This window comes from Homo sapiens, chromosome 9, assembly GCF_000001405.40.
Source record: "Homo sapiens chromosome 9, GRCh38.p14 Primary Assembly".
NCBI classification, from domain to species: Eukaryota; Metazoa; Chordata; class Mammalia; order Primates; family Hominidae; genus Homo; species Homo sapiens.
In genome coordinates, this window is record NC_000009.12 from 34,000,595 (window position 1) to 34,021,480 (window position 20,886).

The 20,886-nt window shown below is 42.9% G+C and overlaps 1 protein-coding gene and 1 pseudogene across 9 annotated transcripts in view; both read right to left on the reverse strand.

Annotated features, from left to right (window-relative positions):
• The window catches only part of UBAP2 (ubiquitin associated protein 2), a 127,507-nt gene that overhangs the window by 78,902 nt on the left and 27,719 nt on the right, over positions 1-20,886 (reverse strand). For 5 of the 9 annotated variants that reach the window (NM_001370059.2, NM_020867.2, NM_018449.4 and 2 more), the window contains exon 2: positions 16,456-16,595. The exons of 2 other annotated variants lie outside the window; for them this stretch is intronic. In NM_001370059.2, the coding sequence (NP_001356988.2) occupies positions 16,456-16,554 (99 nt within the window). In that variant the 5' untranslated portion in view covers positions 16,555-16,595. Of the gene's footprint in view, positions 1-11,032; positions 11,071-16,455; positions 16,596-20,886 lie in introns of all 9 variants that reach the window. 2 more of the 9 variants (NM_001370064.2, NM_001370066.2) reach the window with 1 other exon arrangement.
• On the reverse strand, positions 17,672-17,726 carry RNU7-36P (RNA, U7 small nuclear 36 pseudogene; annotated as a pseudogene).

The following is a 20,886-nucleotide window of genomic DNA, read 5'->3' on the forward strand; positions in this document are numbered from 1 at the left end:
TCCCAACACAAATATTTAAAAAGCTTAACAGTTTACAAAAAGATCTTAGAGGAAGAAAAGCCATAAGGAACTAATAAACAGCTTTTATTCTGAGTTTTTTATATACACTCATTTCAAATAATCTTGACTGAAGTGGGATAAGTGGGAGTTGTTGACATTTTTTGCATTTTAAAGCACTTTTCAAAAGGCCTTTCCAGGCCATGTGGGTGGGTGATTATACAAACTCCAGGTGCTTTGGCCTGTTCATCCCAACCTATGCCTGCTGAGACCTCAGTTTAACTGCTGCAATACTGCTACATTATACCCAAAAAGACATTGGTACAGAAATTCAGTGTCTACCCTTACTGAAAATCTTACCTCAATTGTTCCCTGTAAATGTAAGGACCTTACATATACTCTCACTATCCCTAAATCAGACAATCATTTTCCTGAATCATAACCAACCAATAAGTCCCAGTGCCACAGCCAAGAGCACCACTGTCATGACAACTAGATGAAGTAAAAGGGAAAAGCAAAGGGAGAGATGGGTTTTTAAAAGATGGCATTTCCACATTATACATTTGGGTTTGGAGTAATGACAACTTGTTATGAACTGTTAAAGTCAAAAATATAGAGAGAAACAAATCTCTAAGTAAAAAAGGTTTTATTTAGAAAGAATATATAAGTAGGATTGCAATCCAGGACATACATACATACACATACTAGGGTAGCCTCCTAGTGTGTCCAAAGAACACAAAGAAGGTTGGGAGTTTTATTAGAAAAAGAAATGTGACCTATTGTTTTGAAAGAAAACTCACTGGAACTACTAAAGCTTTTGGGAGCTGGTAAGCTCTGATTGGTGAGTGAACACGGTTGGTAAAACTAGACTTAGAGTCACAAGAGTTCATCTCAACAGCTAGTAGGTAAAACTGGATTTAAGGTTACAGCATGTCATTGTGGCAGCTGGCCTGCAATATAATCCCTGGGCAAGCGGTTTGTGCCCCAAGCACTTTTTTACCGTAACCCTTGGTCCACTGACTCTAAATTTAGTTGGGTATGACAAGATAACTCCAATTCATATAATCAATTTTCACAAAATGAAAGTAGACTGTTAGTGTCCCTGTTGCAAGAAGCCTGTATGAAGAGTTTGCCTGTTTTCCCTAACACTATTATTTTCTGCTCCCTGTGTTTCAAACCTAAAAAATGTACCATACCAGCAGATTCAGGTAGCCTTGTTCCAATCCAAGCACCACTGATGCTCATCCCTTCCCATCATTACAGTTTCTTAAATTATAAGCTTTACAAGTCAAACACAAGAAAAATTGAAAAATCCATAAAGTGACCATCTAACACCAAAACTATTTATGTATTTGGTATTTATATTTTTTCATTAAAAAAAAAAAACAAAAAAACAGGGTTTCACTCTGTGTTGGAATGCAGTGGCACAATCACAGCTCACCATGGCCTCGACCTCCCAGGCTCAAGCACTCCTCTGACCTCAGCCTCCTGAGTAGCAACCATGGCAGCCACCATGCCTGGCTAATTTGTTGTTGTTATTTTCATAAAGACAAGGTCTCACTGTGTTGCCCATGCTGGTCTCAAACTCCTGAACTCAAGCAATCCTCCTACTTCTGCCTCCCAAAGAGCTGGAATTATAGGCATGAGCCACCACACTTGGCTATTTTCCTCTTTTATCAAAAACAGAATACTTAACATACTACCATGTGGAATCACTCACAGACACAATTTATTATGAATATCTATATCACGTTTAATGCTACATGACAATCCACTGCATAGGTGCTTTTTTTTTTTTTTTTTTTGAGACAGAGTCTCGCTCTGTCGCCCAGGCTGGAGTGCATGGCGCGATATCGGCTCACTGCAACCTCCATCTCCCAGGTTCAAGCGATTCTCTTGCCTCAGCCTCCTGAATAGCTAGGATTACAGGTGCATGCCACCACGCCTGGCTAATTTTTGTATTTTTAGTAGAGAACGGGTTTCACAATGTTGGTCAGGCTGGTCTCGAACTCCTGACCTCATGATCCGCCCACCTCGGCCTCCCAAAGTGCTGGGATTACAGGTGTGAGCCACCCGCCCAGCCTTAACATCTTTTTTTTAAGCTAGGGTTTCATTGTGTCGGCTAGGCTGGAGTGCAATGGCACAATCAGTGCTCACTACAGCTGCCTCCCAGGCTCAAGCAATCCTCCCACCTCACGCACTCCACCCCCCATAATTTCCCCCAATAGCTGGGAATACAGGCGCACAACACGACACCTGGTTAATGTTTTGTTTTTAGTACAAACAAGGTTCCGCCATGTTGCCCAGATTAATATTGAACCCCCCGAGCTTAAGCAATTCCTCTGCTCAGCCTCCCAAAGCGCTAGGATTACAGGCATAAACCACAGTGCCCGGCCTATATCTTTCTTACTCTGCAAATTTTTATTACTACTAAAACACTGCCAGAGATCCATTCTTTTCTTTCGTTGTTTTTTTTTTTCTTTTTTTGAGACGAAGTCTCCCTCTGTTGCCTTGCAGTAGTGTGCTCTCGGCTCGCTGCAACCTCCGCCTCTTAGGTTCAAACAATTCTCATGCTTGGGACTACAGGCATGCCACCACGCCCTGCTAATTTTTGGTTTTGGTAGAGACGGGGTTTCACCATGTTGGTCAGGCTGGTCTTGAACGTCTGACCTCGAGTGATCTGCCCACCTTGGCCACCCAAAGTGCTGGGATTACAGGTATGCACCACTGTGGCAGGCTGAGGTCCATTCTTATACCCAAATCTGTACATACATCAAAGATGGCTTTTTTTTTTTTTTTTGAGACAGTCATGCTCTGCTGCTCAGGCTGGAGTGCAGTGGCGTGATCGCGACTCACTGCAACCTCCGCCTCCCAGGTTCAAGGGATTCTCTGCAACCTCCGCTTCCCAGGTTCAAGCGATTCTCCAGCCTCAGCCTCCCCAGTAGCTGAGATTACAGGTGTTCGCCACCACACCCAGCTAATTTTTACTATTTTTAGTACAGATGCGGTTTCACCATGTTATTCAGGCTGGTCTTGAACTCCTGACCTTAAATGACCCTCCTGCCTTGCCCTCCCAAAGTGCTGGGATTACAGGCGTGAGCCACCACACACGGCCAAAGAAAGATTTCTTTCTTTTGTTTTTTTTTGAGACAGAGTTTCACTCTTGTTGCCCAGGCTGGAGTGCAGTGGTGCGATCTTGGCTACTGCAACCTCCACTTCCCAGGTTGAAGCAATTCTAGTGTCTCAGCCTCTTGAGTAGCTGGGATTACAGGCACATGCCACAATGCCCGGCTAATTTTTGTATTTTTAGTAGAGACAGGGTTTCATCATGTTGATCAGGCTGGTCTCAAACTCCTGACCTCAGGTGATCCGCCCACCTCGGCCTCCCAAAGTGCTGGGATTACAGGTATGAGCCACCACGCCCAGCCCCAAATATAGCTTTCTAACAATGAATACAAAGAAGTAAAACTATAGGGTCAAAGAAATGTCTACCAGTGTTAAAAGGAGTTTAAAACCATCTCCACAAAAATGCTCTGCACAAAGGCTATAAAGATATATACTCAACGAGCAGTAAATAAGAGAACCTGCCTCCTCAAAACCTTTCCCAAAACGGGCATAATGAACTTTTTAAAAAAGCTTTTAAAACTTTTTAATTACTTAAAATGGTCTATATTTGGTGTAATTTTTATTTCTTAGCTCACTATTAAGACTGCAAAACCTCATTTCTACAAAAAAACAGAAAAACTAGCCAAGTGTGGTGGTAAGTGCTGTAGTCCCAGCTACCCCAGAGGCTAAGGTGGGAGGATCACCTTAGCCCGAGGAGGTCAAGGTTGCAGTGAGCCAAGATGGCGCCACTGCACTCCAGCCTGTGTGACAGAACAACCTGGTCACAAAAAAAGGAAAAAAAAAGGCTGGGCGCAGTGGCTCACGCCTATAATCCCAGCACTTTGGGAGGCCAAGGCGGGTGGATCACGAGGTCAGGAGATCGAGACCATCCTGGCTAACACGGTGAAACCCCGTCTCTACTAAAAAAATACAAAAAATTAGCCGAGCGTGGTGGCGGGCACCTGTAGTCCCAGCTACTCGGGAGGCTGAGGCAGGACAATGGCGTGAACCTGGCAGGCGGAGCTTGCAGTGAGCCGAGATAGCGCCACTGCACTCCAGCCTGGGCAAAAGAGCGAGATTCTGTCTCCAAAAAAAAAAATAGGGAAAAAAAAAGTAAATTTTAAGGCTGGGCACGGTGACTCACGCCTATAATCCCAGCACTTTGGGAGGCTGAGTCAGGAGGAGACCAGCCTGGGCAACATAGTGAGACCCCCATCTCTGTAAAACATTTAAAAATCAGACACTTCTTGCATCACCTTTTTCTTAAATCCCATTGAAAACAACAGTCGGGCATGGTAGCTCAGGCCTGTAATCCCAGCACTTTGGGAGGCTGAGGCAGGCGGATCACTTGAGGTCAGGAGTTCAAGACCAGCCTGGCCAACATGGTGAAACCCCGTCTACACTAAAAATACAAAAATTAGCAGTGCGTGGTGGCACGAGCCTGAAATCCCAACTACTCAGGAGGTTGAGGCACAAGAATCATTTGAACCCGAGAGGCGGAGGTTGCAGTGAGCTGAGATCTCACCACTGTACTCCAGCCTGGGCAGCAGAGTGAAACTGTGTCTCAAGAAAAAAAAAAAAAAAAAAAATTAGCCAGGCATGGTGGCGCATACCTGTAGTCTCAGCTACCTGGAAGGCTGAGGTGTGAGAATCGCTTGAACCTGGGAGGCAGAGGGTGCAGTGAGCCTAGATCATGCCATTGCACTCCAGCCTGGAAGCCAGGGCAAGACCCTGTCTCAAAAAAAAAAAAAAAAAAAAAAAATCTGATAAAAGAATAACATATCTCTAAGTTTTTCTATTTCTTCTTTAAATTACAGAATTCAAGAAATAATAATTTAAAGAAAGTCCTATCACATATGAAAATGGAGTCTAAACTACAAGGAATATAAAACTTAACAATTAATGTCTCAAGAATAACAGAGAATAAAACTGGGGAAATTTTTTTCCTGTAAAAAGGAAATAAAAGGAAAGAGAAATGAAGAGATAAATAGGAATGGGAGAAAAGAAAGCAAAGTGTCAAACACTGAAGATAGGCAAAAGACAACCCAACTTAAAGCTATGGACAATAAGCCTCCAAAGAATAAAAATACAGTATAGAGCCTTAAAACTAAAATTTAAGAAAAATGTCTGGAAAACAAACCAAAAAATGCATAAATATGTCAATGAAAATACACCGTCCTTGAGAATATCAATCCCTAAATAATCAGTCCACACTAAGACATTCTTATTCTTTAGTTTAAGAACTGGACTCTGGCCAGGCGTGGTGGCTCATGCCTATAATCCCAGCACTTTGGGAGGCTGAGGCGGGCAGATCACTTGAGGTCAGGAGTTCAAGACCAGCCTGGCCACCACAGTGAAACCCCATCTCTACTAAAAATACAAAAAAATTAGCCGGGCATGGTGGCGTGCACCTGTAATCCCAGCTACTTGGAAAGCCGAAGCAGGAGAATCGCTTGAACCCGGGAGGCCAGAGGTTGCAGTGAGCCGAGATCGCACCATTGCACTCCAGCCTGGGAGACAGGGTGAGACTCATCTCAAAAAGAAAAAAAAAAAAAAAGAAGAAGAACTGGACTCTAAAAGAACAAACATCCACTGGACAACTAGGCAGAAATGTCAAGAGACACAGAAGAGAATGAAATTAGAATATCAACAAACTTGTCAAGAGCAATGCTTTGCGCAAGAAAAAATTAATATTTAAGATAGTCAGGTACAGCAGTTCACACCTGTAATTCCAGCAGTTCAGAAGGCTGAGGCAGGCAGATTGCTCGAGCTCAGGCGTTTGAGACCAGCCTGTGCAACACAACAAAACCCTTTACAAAAAAATACAAAAATTAACCAGTGTGGTGGCATGCACCTGTGCTCCCAGCTACTCAAGAGGCTGAGGTAGGAGGATTATCTGAGTCCAGGAGGTCAAGGGAGAAGGGAGCAGTGAGCATGACCGTGCCACTGCACTCCAGTCTGGGTGACAAAGTGAGACCTTGTCTCAAAAAAAAAAAGATAACGTAAAGAAAATGTGGGCCTAGCACTTAGAGCCAACAAAACTGATGTTCTACTCAAGTATAAAAGGTATAAATTGTGAACACCACCAAACACAAGGAATATTGTTCTCATAATTCCTTTCAGAGGAATCAACAAAAGCAATGGGTTCAGACAATCAAAACGACTAGAGAAACTGACTTAAGTATTGACAGTGACTACTGAACATATTATTTACTAAATGGCCAAAGGAGAAGCATATACTATATAATGAGTACCTGAACAATGTAGACAGAGTACAACTGTTTTGCTGTTGATATATATAAAGGCTAATTTTTGTTGTTGATTTTGTATCCTGCAACTTCACTGAATTCATTTCTCAGTTCTAACAGATGTTTGATGGAGTTTTTAGGTTTTTCTAAATACAACATGTCATCTATAAATAAGAATATAATGTGACTTCTTCCTTTGCAATCTAGACCCCTTTATTTCCTTCTCTTGCCTATTTGCTCTGGCTAGAAGTTCTAGTACTCAAGTGAGGCCAGGTGCAGTGACTCACGCCTGTAATCCCAACACTTTGGGAGGCTGAGGAAGGTGGATCCCTTGAGCCTAAGAGTTTGAAACCAGCCCTGTGGGTAACTTGGTGAGACGCTGTCTCTTCAAAAAATAAAACATTAGCCAAGTATGGAAGTGCACACCATTAGTCCCAGCTACCCGAGAGGCTGAGGCAGAAGGATCTCTTGAGCCTAGGGGGGTCAAGGCTACCGTGAGCCATGTTCGCATCATTATATTCCAGCCTGGGTGACCCTGTCTCAAAAAAAAAAAAAAATAGCCTTTATTATTTTGAGGTATGTTCCTTCCACACTCAGGTTGTTGATAATCTTTACCACAAAGGGATGTTGAATTTTTTCACATACATTTTTCAGCGTTTATTGAAATGATCATATGTTTTTTGTCCTTGTATGTTTTATTTTTATTTTTTTTGAGACTGAGTCTCGCTCTGTTGCCCAGGCTGGAGTGCAGTGGAGTGATCTCGGCTCACTGCAAGCTCTGCCTCCCCGATTCACGCCATTCTCCTGCCTCAGCCTCCCGAGTAGCTGGGACTACAGGCACCCGCCACCACTCCCGGCTAATTTTTTTTTCCATTTATAATAGAGTCGGGGTTTCACCTTGTTAGCCAAGATGGTCTCTATCTCCTGACCTCATGATCTGCCCGCCTCGGCCTCCCAAAGTGCTGCAATTACAGGCATAAGCCACCGCACTGGCCTGTCCTTGTTTTTCTTAATGAGATGTATCCTGTTCATTGAGTTGCATATGCTGAACCGTCCTAGTGACCAATTATTTTAAAAGAGGGCCAGAGGCTGAGGCAGGAGAATCGCTTGAACCTGGGAGGCGAAGGTTGTAGTGAGCCGAGATCGCGCCACTGCACTCCAGCATGGCGACAGAGTGAGACTCGTCTCAAAAAACAAAAATACACATACAAATACAAAATTAGCCGGGCCGGGCATGGTGGCGCATGCCTGTAATCCCAGTTACTTGGGAGGCTGAGACAGGAAAACTGCTTGAACCCAAGAGGCGAAGGTTGCGGTGAGCTAAGATCGCGCCATTGCACTGCAGCGTGGGCAACAAGAGCGAAACTCCGTCTCAAAAAAAAAAAAAAAAAAGTGGGACACAGAAAATGAGTAATTTTGGGATAATCTAATTCTACCACCTTCTGGTTCCCTTTGAACCAGGATGGTGTGTGGAAGCAATAAGACATAACACAAAAGAAGTCAAAAACTCTGTCATCAGCTGGGTGCAGTAGCTCAGGCCTGTAATCTCAGCACTTTGGGAGGCTGAGGCAGACGGATCACCTGAGGTCAGGAGTTCCAGACCAGCCTGGCCAACATGAGACCCCGTCTCAAAAATGTAATAAAATCAAAATGCAACAGAGATTGTGTCTGGACTGCAAAGCGTAAGATATATACTAACACTTTACAGAAAAGGTTAGGCAATCCTTTATGTAAAAAGCTGACCAGGCACAGTGGCTCCTGCCTGTAATCCCAGCACTTTGGTAGGCTGAGGCAGGCGGATCACAAGGTCAAGAAATCGAGACCATCCTGGCCAACATGGTGAAACCCCGTCTCTACTGAAAAAACAAAAATTAGCTGAGCACAGTGGTGTGCGCCTGTAGTCCCAACTACTTTGGAGGCTGAGGCAGGAGAATGGCTTGAACCCACAAGGCAGAGGTTGCAGTGAGCCAAGGTCACGCCACTGCACTCCAGCCTGGCGACACAGCGAGACTGTCTCAAAAAAAAAAAAAAAAAAAAAAAAAAGTTAACATTTAGGATAGCGGGGTGAATATATCTCTATCTCTATCGTTCTTTGCAACTTTTTTACAACTCTTAAAATTATTCCAAAATAATTTTTCCCTAAAAATTTGGTGTTTTGTTTTGTTTTTTTTTTGAGACAGAATCTTGCTCTGTCGCCCACACTGGAGCACAGTGGCACAGTCTCGGCTCACTGCAACCTCTGCCTCCTGGGTTCAAGTGATTCTTGTGCCTCACCCTTCAAGTAGCTGGGATTACAGGTGCACACCACCACGGCCAGCTAATTTTTCTATTTTTAGTAGAGATGGGGTTTTGTAATGTTGGCCAGGCTGGTCTCGAACCCCTGGCCTCAGGTGATCCACCCGTCTCAGCCTCCCAAAGTGCTGGGATTACAGACGCAAGCCACCACACCTGGCCAAAAAGGTTTTTTTCTTATAAATTTTTTAAAAAATATTTTTTATGGAGACAGGGTCTCGCTACTTGGCCCAGGATGGTCTTGAACTCCAGAGCTCAAACAATCCTCCCACCTCAGCCTCCCAAAGTGTTGAGATTACAGGTGTTAGCCACCATGTCCCGGTTCAAAATGTTTTTTTATTAATTGGTAAGCCAATAGATTCAAGCACTTATCCTACCATACAGTATAAGAAGTTTGTAATTTTTGTAGAGACAGGTCTCACTACGTTACTCAGGCTGGTCTCGAACTCCTGGACTCAAGCAATCCTCCCACCTCTGCTGGGACTACTGGAGTAAGCCACCATGCCCAGCAGGAAACAATCTATGTAAATATTCCATGTAACAAATGAAAAATAAATGACTTATATTTCCTTTTTTTTTTTTTTTTTTGAGACAGAGTTTCGCTCTTGTTGTGCAGGCTGGAGTACAATGGTGGGATCTCTGCTCATCGCAACTTCCGCCTCCTGGGTTCAAGAGATTCTCCTGCTTCAGCCTCCCAAGTAGCTGGGATTACAGGCATGTGCCACCATGCTTGGCTAATTCTGTATGTTTAGTAGAGACGGAGTTTCTCCATCTTGGTCAGGCTGGTCTCAAACTCCTGACCTCAGGTGATCTACCTGCCTTGGCCTCCCAAAGTGCTGGGATTACAGGCATGAGCCACCACGCCCAGCCCGAGGTCCTGTCTATTAAAAAAAAAAAAAAAAAACAGCCAGGCACAGTGGCTCACACCTGTAATCCCAGCACTTTGGGAGGTCAAGGCGGGCAGATCACCTGAGGTCAGGAGTTTGAGACCATCCTGGCCAACATGGTGAAACCCCGTCTCAACTAAAAATAGAAAAATTAGCCAGTCATGATGGCAGGTGCCTGTAATCCCAGCTACTCAGGAGGCTGAGGTGGGAAAATCACTTGAACCTGGGAGATGGAGGTTGCAGTGAGCCCAGATCGCGCCACTGCACTCCAGCCTAGGCAACAAGGGCAGAAACTCTGCCTCATAAAAAAAAAAAAAAAAAAAAAAGACAATAAACAAATAATACACCCTAGTCAATGACATCCATTCTGAAGTGATTAAGAGTACCATTAATCATTTAATTCACTTTGAAAAGCATTAAAAACTTAGATAAAATAATGGCTGGCTAAACAGATGTGATAAAACAAATAGAGCAAAAAGGTAATAGAACATATGGATATTGACTGTACAACTCTCAACTTTTCTTCATCTGTGACCATTTTCATAATAAAGCATTGTGGGGAGGGATTTTGGCAGACAGAAAAGGAGTACAGGCGGCGGCTTGGGGTGGTAGATGTGTTAAACAGGAGCTACAACAAACATTTTTTTTTAAAAAGTAAAATTATGGATTACTTGTGGCTATCCACTCACTGCACAGTAAGTATTATTATAAGAACATCCCTGGTTTCAAGACATTTCAGACAGAAACTACTTCATGCAGATATGTCAGAGTAGAAGATAAACCAAAGTCAGGGAGTATGGCTGAAATCTTTGTGGAAAAAGTATGAAAAAGTAATGGCAGAGTGGGGGAACCAGGAACAAATAATGACCCTAAAGGCAAGAATATTTAAACTTGAAAACTGCCTGAGAACAGCCAGTGCTTTGTAAACGTGCACAATTTACAAAACCAAAGAAACACCGACCCGATTAAAATATTAACAAACAAGCACTTGATGGGTGAAAGAATCTCACCAAATATTTCAAGCAGAATAGTTATTAATAATCGCATTTTGCTGTAGGGGGCAGTCTGGGGCTTATATATGTTTCTACATTATCATTCTGATACTGTTTCACCCATACATTTCTAACTATAAAGTCACTATTCATTGCCATATGTAAGGTAAATGCCAATGACTGATTTATTCAGACTTAGCTTTTTCAGCTTAAGTATTATATGACACAAATACTGTATTTCTCTTCAGTAATATCTTTTTTATTCATAAAAGGGATAGACAGACTACTTCTGAAAGCATAGCCAATACACATAATAGTCATTTAACAATAACAATATAGTAACACTAGTGCTAGCATATTTATGAAAATAAATTTTAATGAGAACTTTAAGTATTTTTTTTAACTTTATAAAATACCCTGAGTCAAGAAAAAAATAATTTTCTTTGATAAACAATTCAATAAATATTTGATAAACAAAGCACCAAACATAAGAGTATAATAGGGAAGTTACCAGGCTGAGCTCTAGGAAGTGTCAAGAGGTCGGTACAGCTTGGGAAAAAAGAGGAAAAATCAGGATCAACTGGTAATTCTTAAGTTAAACAAGGTCAGTGCACCCTCCCCTGCAATAAACATTAGTGACATACACTAGGTCACATCTCAAGTTGAAAAATATCTTGCCAAGAAAAGTACCATCACTACAGCTCTTCCTCTGGATCTCTTACCCATTCATATGGCTTATTACGAACTAAGCTGCTTTCACAGTGGAAAATGTGAAATTTTTCAAATGAATCCAAATTTTTTTTAATTAGAGCTGTCACCCAGAAAAAAATTGGAAATAATAATAAAGTAGGATTATTTATGCCCACCACCAAAGATAAACATTAACAGTCTACTAAGCCTGTACTCATTAATGTTCAACAGTTTTGCATTAACTTTACATATTTTTTTCAGTTGATCAGGAAGTATACCTTTTCTAAGACATTTTATATCATAATTTTCAAATATTCTTATAATCACTTCATAATTGTGGAATGTTCACATAATTTTGTGGAATTTTCACATAAATTCACAAGAGAGTTGACATCTGAATACAATGTATATTCCACAATCTAATTAGCTAAAAAGGACATTACAGCTGGGCCCAGTGGCTCATGCTTGTAATCCCAGCACTTTGGGAGGTCAAGGCAGGCGGATCACCTAAGGTCAGGAGTTCGAGAGCAGCCTGGCCAACATGGCGAAACCTCGTTTCTACTGAAAATATAAAAATTTGCCAGGCATGGTGGCGCATGCCTATAATCCCAGCTACTCGGGAGGCTGAGGCAGGAGAATCACTTGAACCCAGGAGGCGGAGGTTGCAGTGAGCTGAGATCGCACCACTGCACTACAGCCTGGGCATCAAAGTAAAACTGTCTCAAAAAAAAAAAAAGGCATTATGAGGACCATTGAAAAAATATAAGTATGGTCTGTAGATGTTCTGATTTTTTATAATTGTACTGTAATTATGTAAAAAGATCCTTGTTTTTTAAAAAACACTGAGGTATTAAGTGAAGAAGAACCTTATTCACAACTACTTGTCAAACGTTTCTGGGAATAAACTGTAGGGAAAGGAAGAGAACAGGATAAAGTAGATGTGACAGAAATGTTAAAATCTGGGGAATCTGAAAAAAGGGTATTCAGTAATTATTCATATTCCCATTGCAACTTTTCCGTAAATCTCACAATGTATTTTTTTTTTTTTTAAATTGAGGTTCACGGTCAGGCCCAGGGGCTCACACCTATAATCCGGGCAGTTTGGGAAGCTGAGGTGGGCAGATCACCTGAGGTCAGGAATTCAAAACTGACTAACCTGGCCAACATGGTGAAACCCCTCTCTACTAAAACTACTAAAATTAGCCGGGTGTGGTGATGTACAAGTGTAGTCCCAGCTACTCTGGAGGCTGAGGCAGGAGAATCACTTGAACCCAGGAGGCACAGTTGCCGTTAGCCGAGATCAAGCCACTGCACTGCAGCCTGGGCAACAGAGTGAGACTCTAGCTCAAAAAAAAAAAAAAAAAAAAAAGAGGTTAAAGGAGATTTAAGTAACTCATCTAATTACTAAGTGCTAGACCCAGGACAAAAATCCTGGTTTATACGGATTCAAAAGAACTCTCACCACCTGCTGCAGTGGCTCACGCCTGTAATCCCAGCACTTTGGGAGGCGGAGCTGGGTGGATCACCTGAAGTCAGGAATTCAAGACCAGCCTGACCAACATGGTGAAACCCCGTCTCTACCAAACATACAAAAAATTAGCCAGGCGAGGTGGAGGCAGAGGTTGCAGTGAGCTGACATCGCACCATTGCACTCCAGCCTGGACAACAAGAGCAAAACTCCGTCTCAAAAAATAAAAAACTCTCTTTCATCATGCAACCTGAATAGGTTATCTCAGAACACCTCTAACATAACACTGGACATTTAAAATTGAGTAATTAACATCTTACCGGCAGGGCGTGGTAACTCATGCCTTTAATCCCAGCACTCTGGGAGGCCAAGGTGGGCGGATCACCTGAGGTCAGAAGTTTGAAACCAGCCTGGCCAACACGGCGAAACCCCGTCTCTACCAAAAATACAAAAATTAGCCAGGCATGGTGATACATGCCTGCAATCCCAGCTACTCCAGAGGCTGAGGCAGGAGAATCGCTTGGACCCAGGAGGCAGAGGTTGCAATGAGCTGAGAACGCGCCACTGCACTCCAGCCTGGGCGACAGAGCGAGGCTCCATCTCAAAAAAAAAAAGAAAGAAAAAAATTGCCAAATAAAGCCACTTTTTATGACACCAATTTAAGATTACTTTCTTAGCAAATACTTCCCAGAATAGGATTAATGAATAAATAAACATCAATAATTTTCCTAATGCATACTAGTGTTTAAAAGAAAAAAATTTAAAAGGGCCAGGTGCAGTGGCTCACACCTGTAATCCCAACACCTTGGGAGATCAAGGGGGGGACAGATCACTTGAGGTCAGGAGTTTGAGACCAGCCTGGCCAACATGGTGAAACTTCATCTCTACTAAAAATGCAAAAAAGTTAGCCGGGCATGGTGGCTCACGCCTGTAATCCCAGCTGCTGGGGAGGATAAGACAGGAGAATCGCCTGAACCCCAGAGGCGGAGGTTACAATGAGCCAAGATAGAGTAACTGCACTCTAGACTGGGCTACAGAGCGAGACTGTCTCAAAAAAAAAAAAAAAAAAAAAAAAGGTCAGGTGCGGTGGCTCACGCCTATAATCACAGCACCTTTGAAGGCTAAGGGGGCAGTCACTTGGGCTCAGGTGTTGGAGACCAGGCTGGGCAACATGGTGAAACCCTGTCTCTACTAAAAATACAAAAATTAACTGGAGGTGGAGGCAGGCACCTGTAATCCCAGCTACTTGAGAGGCTGAGGCAGGAGAATCGCTTGAACCCAGGAGGCGGAGGTTGCTGTGAACTGAGATGGCACCATTGCACTCCAGCCTGGGCGACAGAAGGAGACTCCATCTCGAAGAAACAAAAAAAAATTAGGCAGGCATGATGTTGCCTGCCTGTAGTCCCAGCTACTTGGAAGGCTGAGGCAAGAGAATCACTTGAACCCGGGAAGTGGAGGTTGGAGTGAGCCGAGACTGGCCACTGCGACAGACTCCGTCTCAAAAAAAAAAAAAAAAAGACCATTCATTAAGCAAACTTTTTCCTAAGTAAATTCAACTATAAAAGGAGGACCTAGCCTAAAACCTCCAAATTTTTCCATCACTGGACTAGATCAGTTTGTGAATAAATTCCTATCAGAGTAAGTGTATTTAGGATCAAGCACTGAGTAGCAGAGATATCTGTCTGTTAATACCAGCAGAATACTACACTAACTTTATACTGAAAAATGTAACGCAACACTTAAATCTCCTCACTATGTCCCCTAACATCAACAGGGCACTTGGGTATAAATGAGTGATTTTAAGAAGCACTTTTAATTAACTATCAAAGTATAGTCAAATCAATCTGCAAGTAAGACAAACTGGATATAGTTTACTTACTTGCATATTGCCTATGAAAAAGGGTTTGCCAATCTAGTCAATAACATGTATATAATGCTTAATTTTGCACCAGGTACTGTGCTTAGCACTTATCTCACTTCACTTAAAATAATAATATAACCAAATTGAGGAGGAGGGAGTATTTAACATTAAAAATTTTATTCAAATGGGTCTTTGTTTTATTGAGACAGAGTCTCGCTCTGTTGCCCAGGCTTGAATGCAGTGGTGTGATCTTGGCTCACTGCAACCTCTGCCTCCCGGGTTCAAGCAATTCTCCCTGCCTCAGCCTCCCGACTAACTGCCATTACAGGCACCCACTACCATGCCTGGCTAATTTTCGTATTTTTTTTTTTTAGTAGAGACAGGGTTTCACCATGTTGGCCAGCCTGGTCTCGAACTCCTGATCTCAGGTGATCTGTCCACCTCGGCCTCCCAAAGTGCTGGAATTACAGGCATGAGCCACTGCGCCCGGCCTCAAGTGGATCTTGATCATTAAAAGCCATTCTAAGATTCAAGCACTCTTCCTTGTGCTTTGAAGAAAAGGCAGGTTTTTGCTTTTTTGTTGAGCCAAGGTCTCACTCTGTCACCCAGGCTGGAGTGCAGTAGCATCATCATAAGTGATCCTCCCACCTCAGCCGCCCAAGTACCTGGGACTACAAATGGAAGCCATCATGCCCAGCTACTTTTTAAACTTTTTGTAGAGACAAGGTCCTCACTATGTTGCCCAGCCTGCTCTTAATTCCTGGGCTCAAGCAACCCTTTTGCCTCAGCCTCCCAAAGTGTTGAGATTACAGACATGAGCCACTATGCCCAGCAAAGGCAGCTTTTTAAAGTCTATTGTAATTCAGGTATTTTACTACTTCAGACTATTAGTTCTCCATCTACCTTGGATTTTCATATTTCATTCCAAGGACACACTTAAATTAATAGAAGGGAGAAAAGGGAGAGGAGATGATGATGAAGCAGCAGGGAAGGAGGAGGAAGGGAAGCAGAGCAAGGTGAAAGGGGAGAGGAGGAGGAGGAGGAGGAAGAGGAGGAATAGAAGGAAGAGGAGGAATAGGAGGAAGAGGAGGAGGAAGAGGAAGGGGAGGAAGAGGAGGAGGAGGAAGAGGAGGAAGAGAAGGAGGAAGAGGAGGAGGAGGAAGAGGAGGAAGAGGAGGAAGAGAAGGAGGAAGAGGAGGAGGAGGAAGAGGAGGAGGCAGCAGCGGCGGCAGCGGCGGTGGTGGTGGTGGTGGTGGTGGTGGTGGTGGTGGTGGTGGTGGCAGTGGCAGCCTAATAGCTAAGAGGTACCTGGAAAAGGTTAGCATTAAAGAGTTCTCATGGAACAACATCCAATTGTACCTGAATCAAGTACAATACCTCTTTCCTTACTATTCTTCATTACCTACTTTTTATTTTTTATTTATTTTATTTTTTTTTTTAGGAAGGAGTCTCGCTTTGTCACCCAGGCTGGAGGGCAGTGGCGTGATCTGGGCTCACTGCAACCTCTGCCTCCTGAGTTCAAGCGATTCTCCTGCCTTAGCCTCCCGAGAAGCTAGGATTACAGGCGCACACCACCACGCCCAGCTAATTTTTGTATTTTCTTAATAGAGGCAGGGTTTCACAATGTTGGCCAGGCTAGTCTCAAACTCCTGACCTCAAGTGATCCACCCACCTCGGCCTCCCAAAGTGCTGGGATTACAGGCGTGAGCCACCGCACCCGGCCATCACCTACTGTTTAAACAAAGGGTCCAAAATCCTAAAGTTTCCTACAAAGGAAAACATTAAATCATATGCTCTCCCTTAATTTCCTTAATTCTAAACAAGGCAAACAAGAGTTCCACATACCCTAAAACTTCAAGTATAATAATAAAAGAAAAAAAAGGAAAAAAAAAAAAAGAGTTCCACAAAAACTTACCTGTACCACTTGTTTCTGTGGTTGCGTTGATTGTGCTGCTGAAATCTGTGGTTTTTCCCGAGCACCTCGACAATGGTCACTGCTCACTGAAGTCATCATATACAGTATATACAAAATAATGTATGTACAAAATAGAAAATCTGCAAGAAAGTAGGGATGGTAAGCAAAACAATCATAGTAAAAGATAAGCATGTACTTCAGAGAAAACAAGGACACTTACAATAAAAGATAAAAGCTCTCTGGAATACAAATTCTCAAGAAGTAGCCCTTGAGGATTTTACATTTTGCTGGTATCTGTTAAACCAATTCGACTACTGCAATCTAAGTCTATGGTTTACGAGCTTAGCAATTCTAAACAAAAATCTCAAGTACCACCAATTTTAACCAGCAACCATTTTATCACTACATGTAGTCACTGTACATGAAGTGCTATCTGCCTCTTACTACTTGCAGTTGCTATTTGAACCCCAAAACAACATTGCACCCAGCCAAGATTTTACCTGCCAATAGCCCAATTTAAAATGTGTCAAGAAACAGGCTATGCCTAAAAGCAAAAGTCAGCTGTAAATAATAAATCTTAAAGAAACAATTGTGTGGCCGGGTGCGGTGGCTCACGCCTGTAATCCCAGCAATTCACGAGGCCGAGGCAGGCAGATCATGAGGTCAGGAGATCGAGACCATGCTGGCTAACACAATGAAACCCCGTCTCTACTAAAAATACAAAAAAGTTAGCCGGGCATGGTGGCAGGCATCTGTAGTCCCAGCTACTTAGGAGGCCAAGGCAGGAGAATGGCGTGAACCCGGGAGGCAGAGGTTGCAGTCAGCCGAGATCGCGTCACTGTACTCCAGCCTTGGCGACAGAGCGAGACTCCGTCTCAAAAAAAAAAAAAAATTGTGCATATAATTTTCTTTGATTTGTTGAACAAACATTTATTGACTAGCTACTAAGTGTCAAGCACATAATTAAGTATGTCATCAAAACATGATTCTAAGCTGGGCACGGTGGCATGCACCTGCAATCCCAGCTATTTTGAGGCTAAGATGGGAAGACTGCTTGAGCCCAAGAGTTTGAGACCAGCCTAGACAACACTGTAAGAACAACTCCACCTCAATTTAAAAAAAAAAAAAAATTATAACCATAAGATTCCTACTTCCTACCCTTTAGGGATAGCGATTACAATTTTTTTTTTTTTTTTTAGACAGAAGAGCCGGGAATTTTCCGATAAAGACCAGAAAACCTGCTAGACAAATTCTAAAAGAGCTGTAACACTATAATTGTTTTTTTGTTTAATTTTAAAAACACAGAAAGCATCGGTGAGGATGTACAAAAACTAGAACCCTTGTGCACTGCTGATGGGAATTTAAAGTGGTACAACCATCATTAAAAGAATGGTGGTTCCTTAAAAAAAAAAAATCAAAAACTAAATTACCATATGATCCAGCAATTCCAATTCTGGGTAGGCACCAAAAACAAATCTCAAAGCAGAGTCTCAAAGAGATGCTTGTACTTCCATGTTAAGAGTGCCATTATTGGCCGGGCACGGTCACTCACGCCTGTAATCCCAGCACTTTGGGAGGCCAAGGCGGGAGGACCACAAGGTCAGGAGATCGAGACCATCCTGGCTAACACGGTGAAACCCCGTCTCTACTAAAAATACAAAAAATTAGCCAGGCGTAGTGGCGGGCGACTGTAGTCCCAGCTACTCAGGAGGCTGAGGCAGGAGAATGGCGTGAACCCGGGAGGTGGAGCTTGCAGTGAGCTGAGATCGTGCCACTGCGCTCCAGCCTGGGCAACAGAGCAAGACTCCGTCTCAAAATAAATAAATAAATTTTAAAAATAAAAAATAAATTAATTAATTAAAAAGCACCATTATTCATAATAGCCAAAAAGTGGAAGATACCCAAGTGTCCATCAATAGATGAATGGATAAGCAAAATGTGACATATATACACAATGGAAAATTATTCAGCCTTAAGAAGGGAAGATATTCTAACACATGCTACCACATGGATGCACCTCAAAGACATTATGCTAAGTGAAATAAGCCAGTCAAAAAAGGACAAATAAGGCTAGGGTGCAGTGGCTCACACCTGTAATCCCAGTACTTTGGGAAGAGGAGGCAGGTAGATTGATTACAAGGTCAGGAGTTCAAGACCAGCCTGGCCAACATGGTGAAACCCCGTCTCTACTAAAAATACAAAAATTAGCCAGGCATGGTGGCACACACCTGTAATCCCAGCAACTCAGGAAGCTGAAGCAGGAGAATTGCTTGAACCCAAGAGGCGGAGGTTGCAGTGAGCCAAGGTAGTGCCACTGCACTCCAGCCTGGGCGACAGAGCAAAACTCTCGGGGCAAGGGGTAAAAAAAAACGGACAAATACTACATGACTCTACTTATACAAGTTACTTAGAAAAGTCAAATTCATAGAAACAAGTAGAATGGTAGTTACCAGAGGCTGGGGGTAGGGGAAGAATGGGGAGTTACTGTATCACAGGTATGGAGTTTCTGTAGGGGAGGATACAAAGGTTCGGAAGATGGACGGCAGTGGTGGTTGCACGACAATGTAAATGTACTTAATGTCAGAGAACTGTATATGTAACAATGGTTACAATAAACTTTATGTTATGTACATTTTACTACACACACACACACACACACACACACACACACACACGCACAGAAAAACATGTAGCAATGCCTTAAAAGTTAAATTTCCAAAATGGAATTCTCCACAGAGGAAATATACCCATCAATCAGAAACAAACTGTTTATGCAAACAATTCCACTCTTACGAAGCTCCTAGAACAAACAAAACAAAAACAAATGTGCAGCCGGTCGCGGTGGCTCATATCTGTAATCCTAACACTTTGGGAGGCTGAGGCAGGCAGATCACGAGGTCAGGAGTTCGAGACCAGCCTGACCAACATGGTGAAACCCCATCTCTACTAAAAATACAAAAATTAGCCAGGCATGGTGGCAGACGCCTGTAATCCCAGCTACTAGGGAGGCTGAAGCAGGATAATTGCTTGAACCTGGGAGGCGGAGGTTGCAGTGAGCCCACTGCACTCCAGCTTGGGTGACAGAGGGAGACTCCATTATTAAAAAAAAAAAAAAAAAAAAACTAAGAGATAAACACACACATTAGTCTAGGCCTACACAGGGTCAGGATCATCAATACTACCGTCTTCCATCTCCACATCTGTCCCACTGGAAGGTCTTCAGCGCAATAACACATAGAGCTATCATCTCCAATGATAACAATGCAGAGCCAATGATTTTTTTTTTTTTAAGACAGAGTCTCACTCCATCACCCAGGCTGGAGTGCAACGAATAGTGCGATCTCGGCTCACTGCAACCTCCACCTTCTGGGTTCAAGCAATCCTCCTGTCTCAGCCTCCCGAATAACTGGGACCAGAGGCACGCGCCACCATGCCCGGCTAATTTTTGGTATTTTTAGTAGAGATGGGGTTTGGCCATGTTGGTCAGGCTGGTCTCAAACTCGTGGCCTCAGGTGATCCACCAGCCTTGGCCTCCCAAAGTGCTGAGATTACAGGCGTGTGCCACTGAGCCGGCCCAGAGCCAACGATTTTAACAATACATGGAACTCTGTTTCCTTTTTTTTTTTTTGAGACAGAGTCTGGCTCAGTCACCCAAGCTGGAGTGCAGTGGCTTGATCTCTGCTCACCGCAAGCTCTGCTTCCTGGGTTCACGCCATTCTCCTGCCTCAGCCTCCTGAGTAGCTGGGACTACAGGCACCCGCCACCAAGCCCAGCTAATTTTTTTGTATTTTTTTAGTAGAGACGGGGTTTCACCGTGTTAGCCAGGATGGTCGCGATCTCCTGACCTCGTGATCCACCCGCCTCGGCCTCCCAAAGTGGTGGGATTACAGGACCCGGCCGGAATTCTGTTTTCTAGAACGGTCAGTTTTAGACACCCAAAAGCAAGCATTCCCATGATGTGGAAAGATATTCCACTATTTGTAAATCTTATACATTTCAGATTAATAAAATGACATTACAACATTTCTACATATTTTTGATCTGTGTATCATAAAATAAAATAGAGGAGACTAACCATAATTCATCATACTAATTCAGGTACCAAAGAAAATTGTGTCCCTGAAACCTATTTTAGCCAGAAAAGGTCTGACAAGCATTTTTCTGTGTTAGCTGCACTAATATTAACTTATTTTTTCAACAGCTTCATTAACTGGCTTGCTAAAGGCCACAGACATATTATTGTACTGCCTTTTACATTATAGTAACAACCAATTATCTAGAATTTCTCACAGCCTCAATACACTGGTTTAAAACTTTTTACTGCATTTGAATCTGCCTCTCCAGTCAGTATGAATACACATTTTGCATCCTTTTTCAGTTTAACAACTTTATAATTTTGTTGGTTTGGGTTTATCATTTTGGTTGTATTAT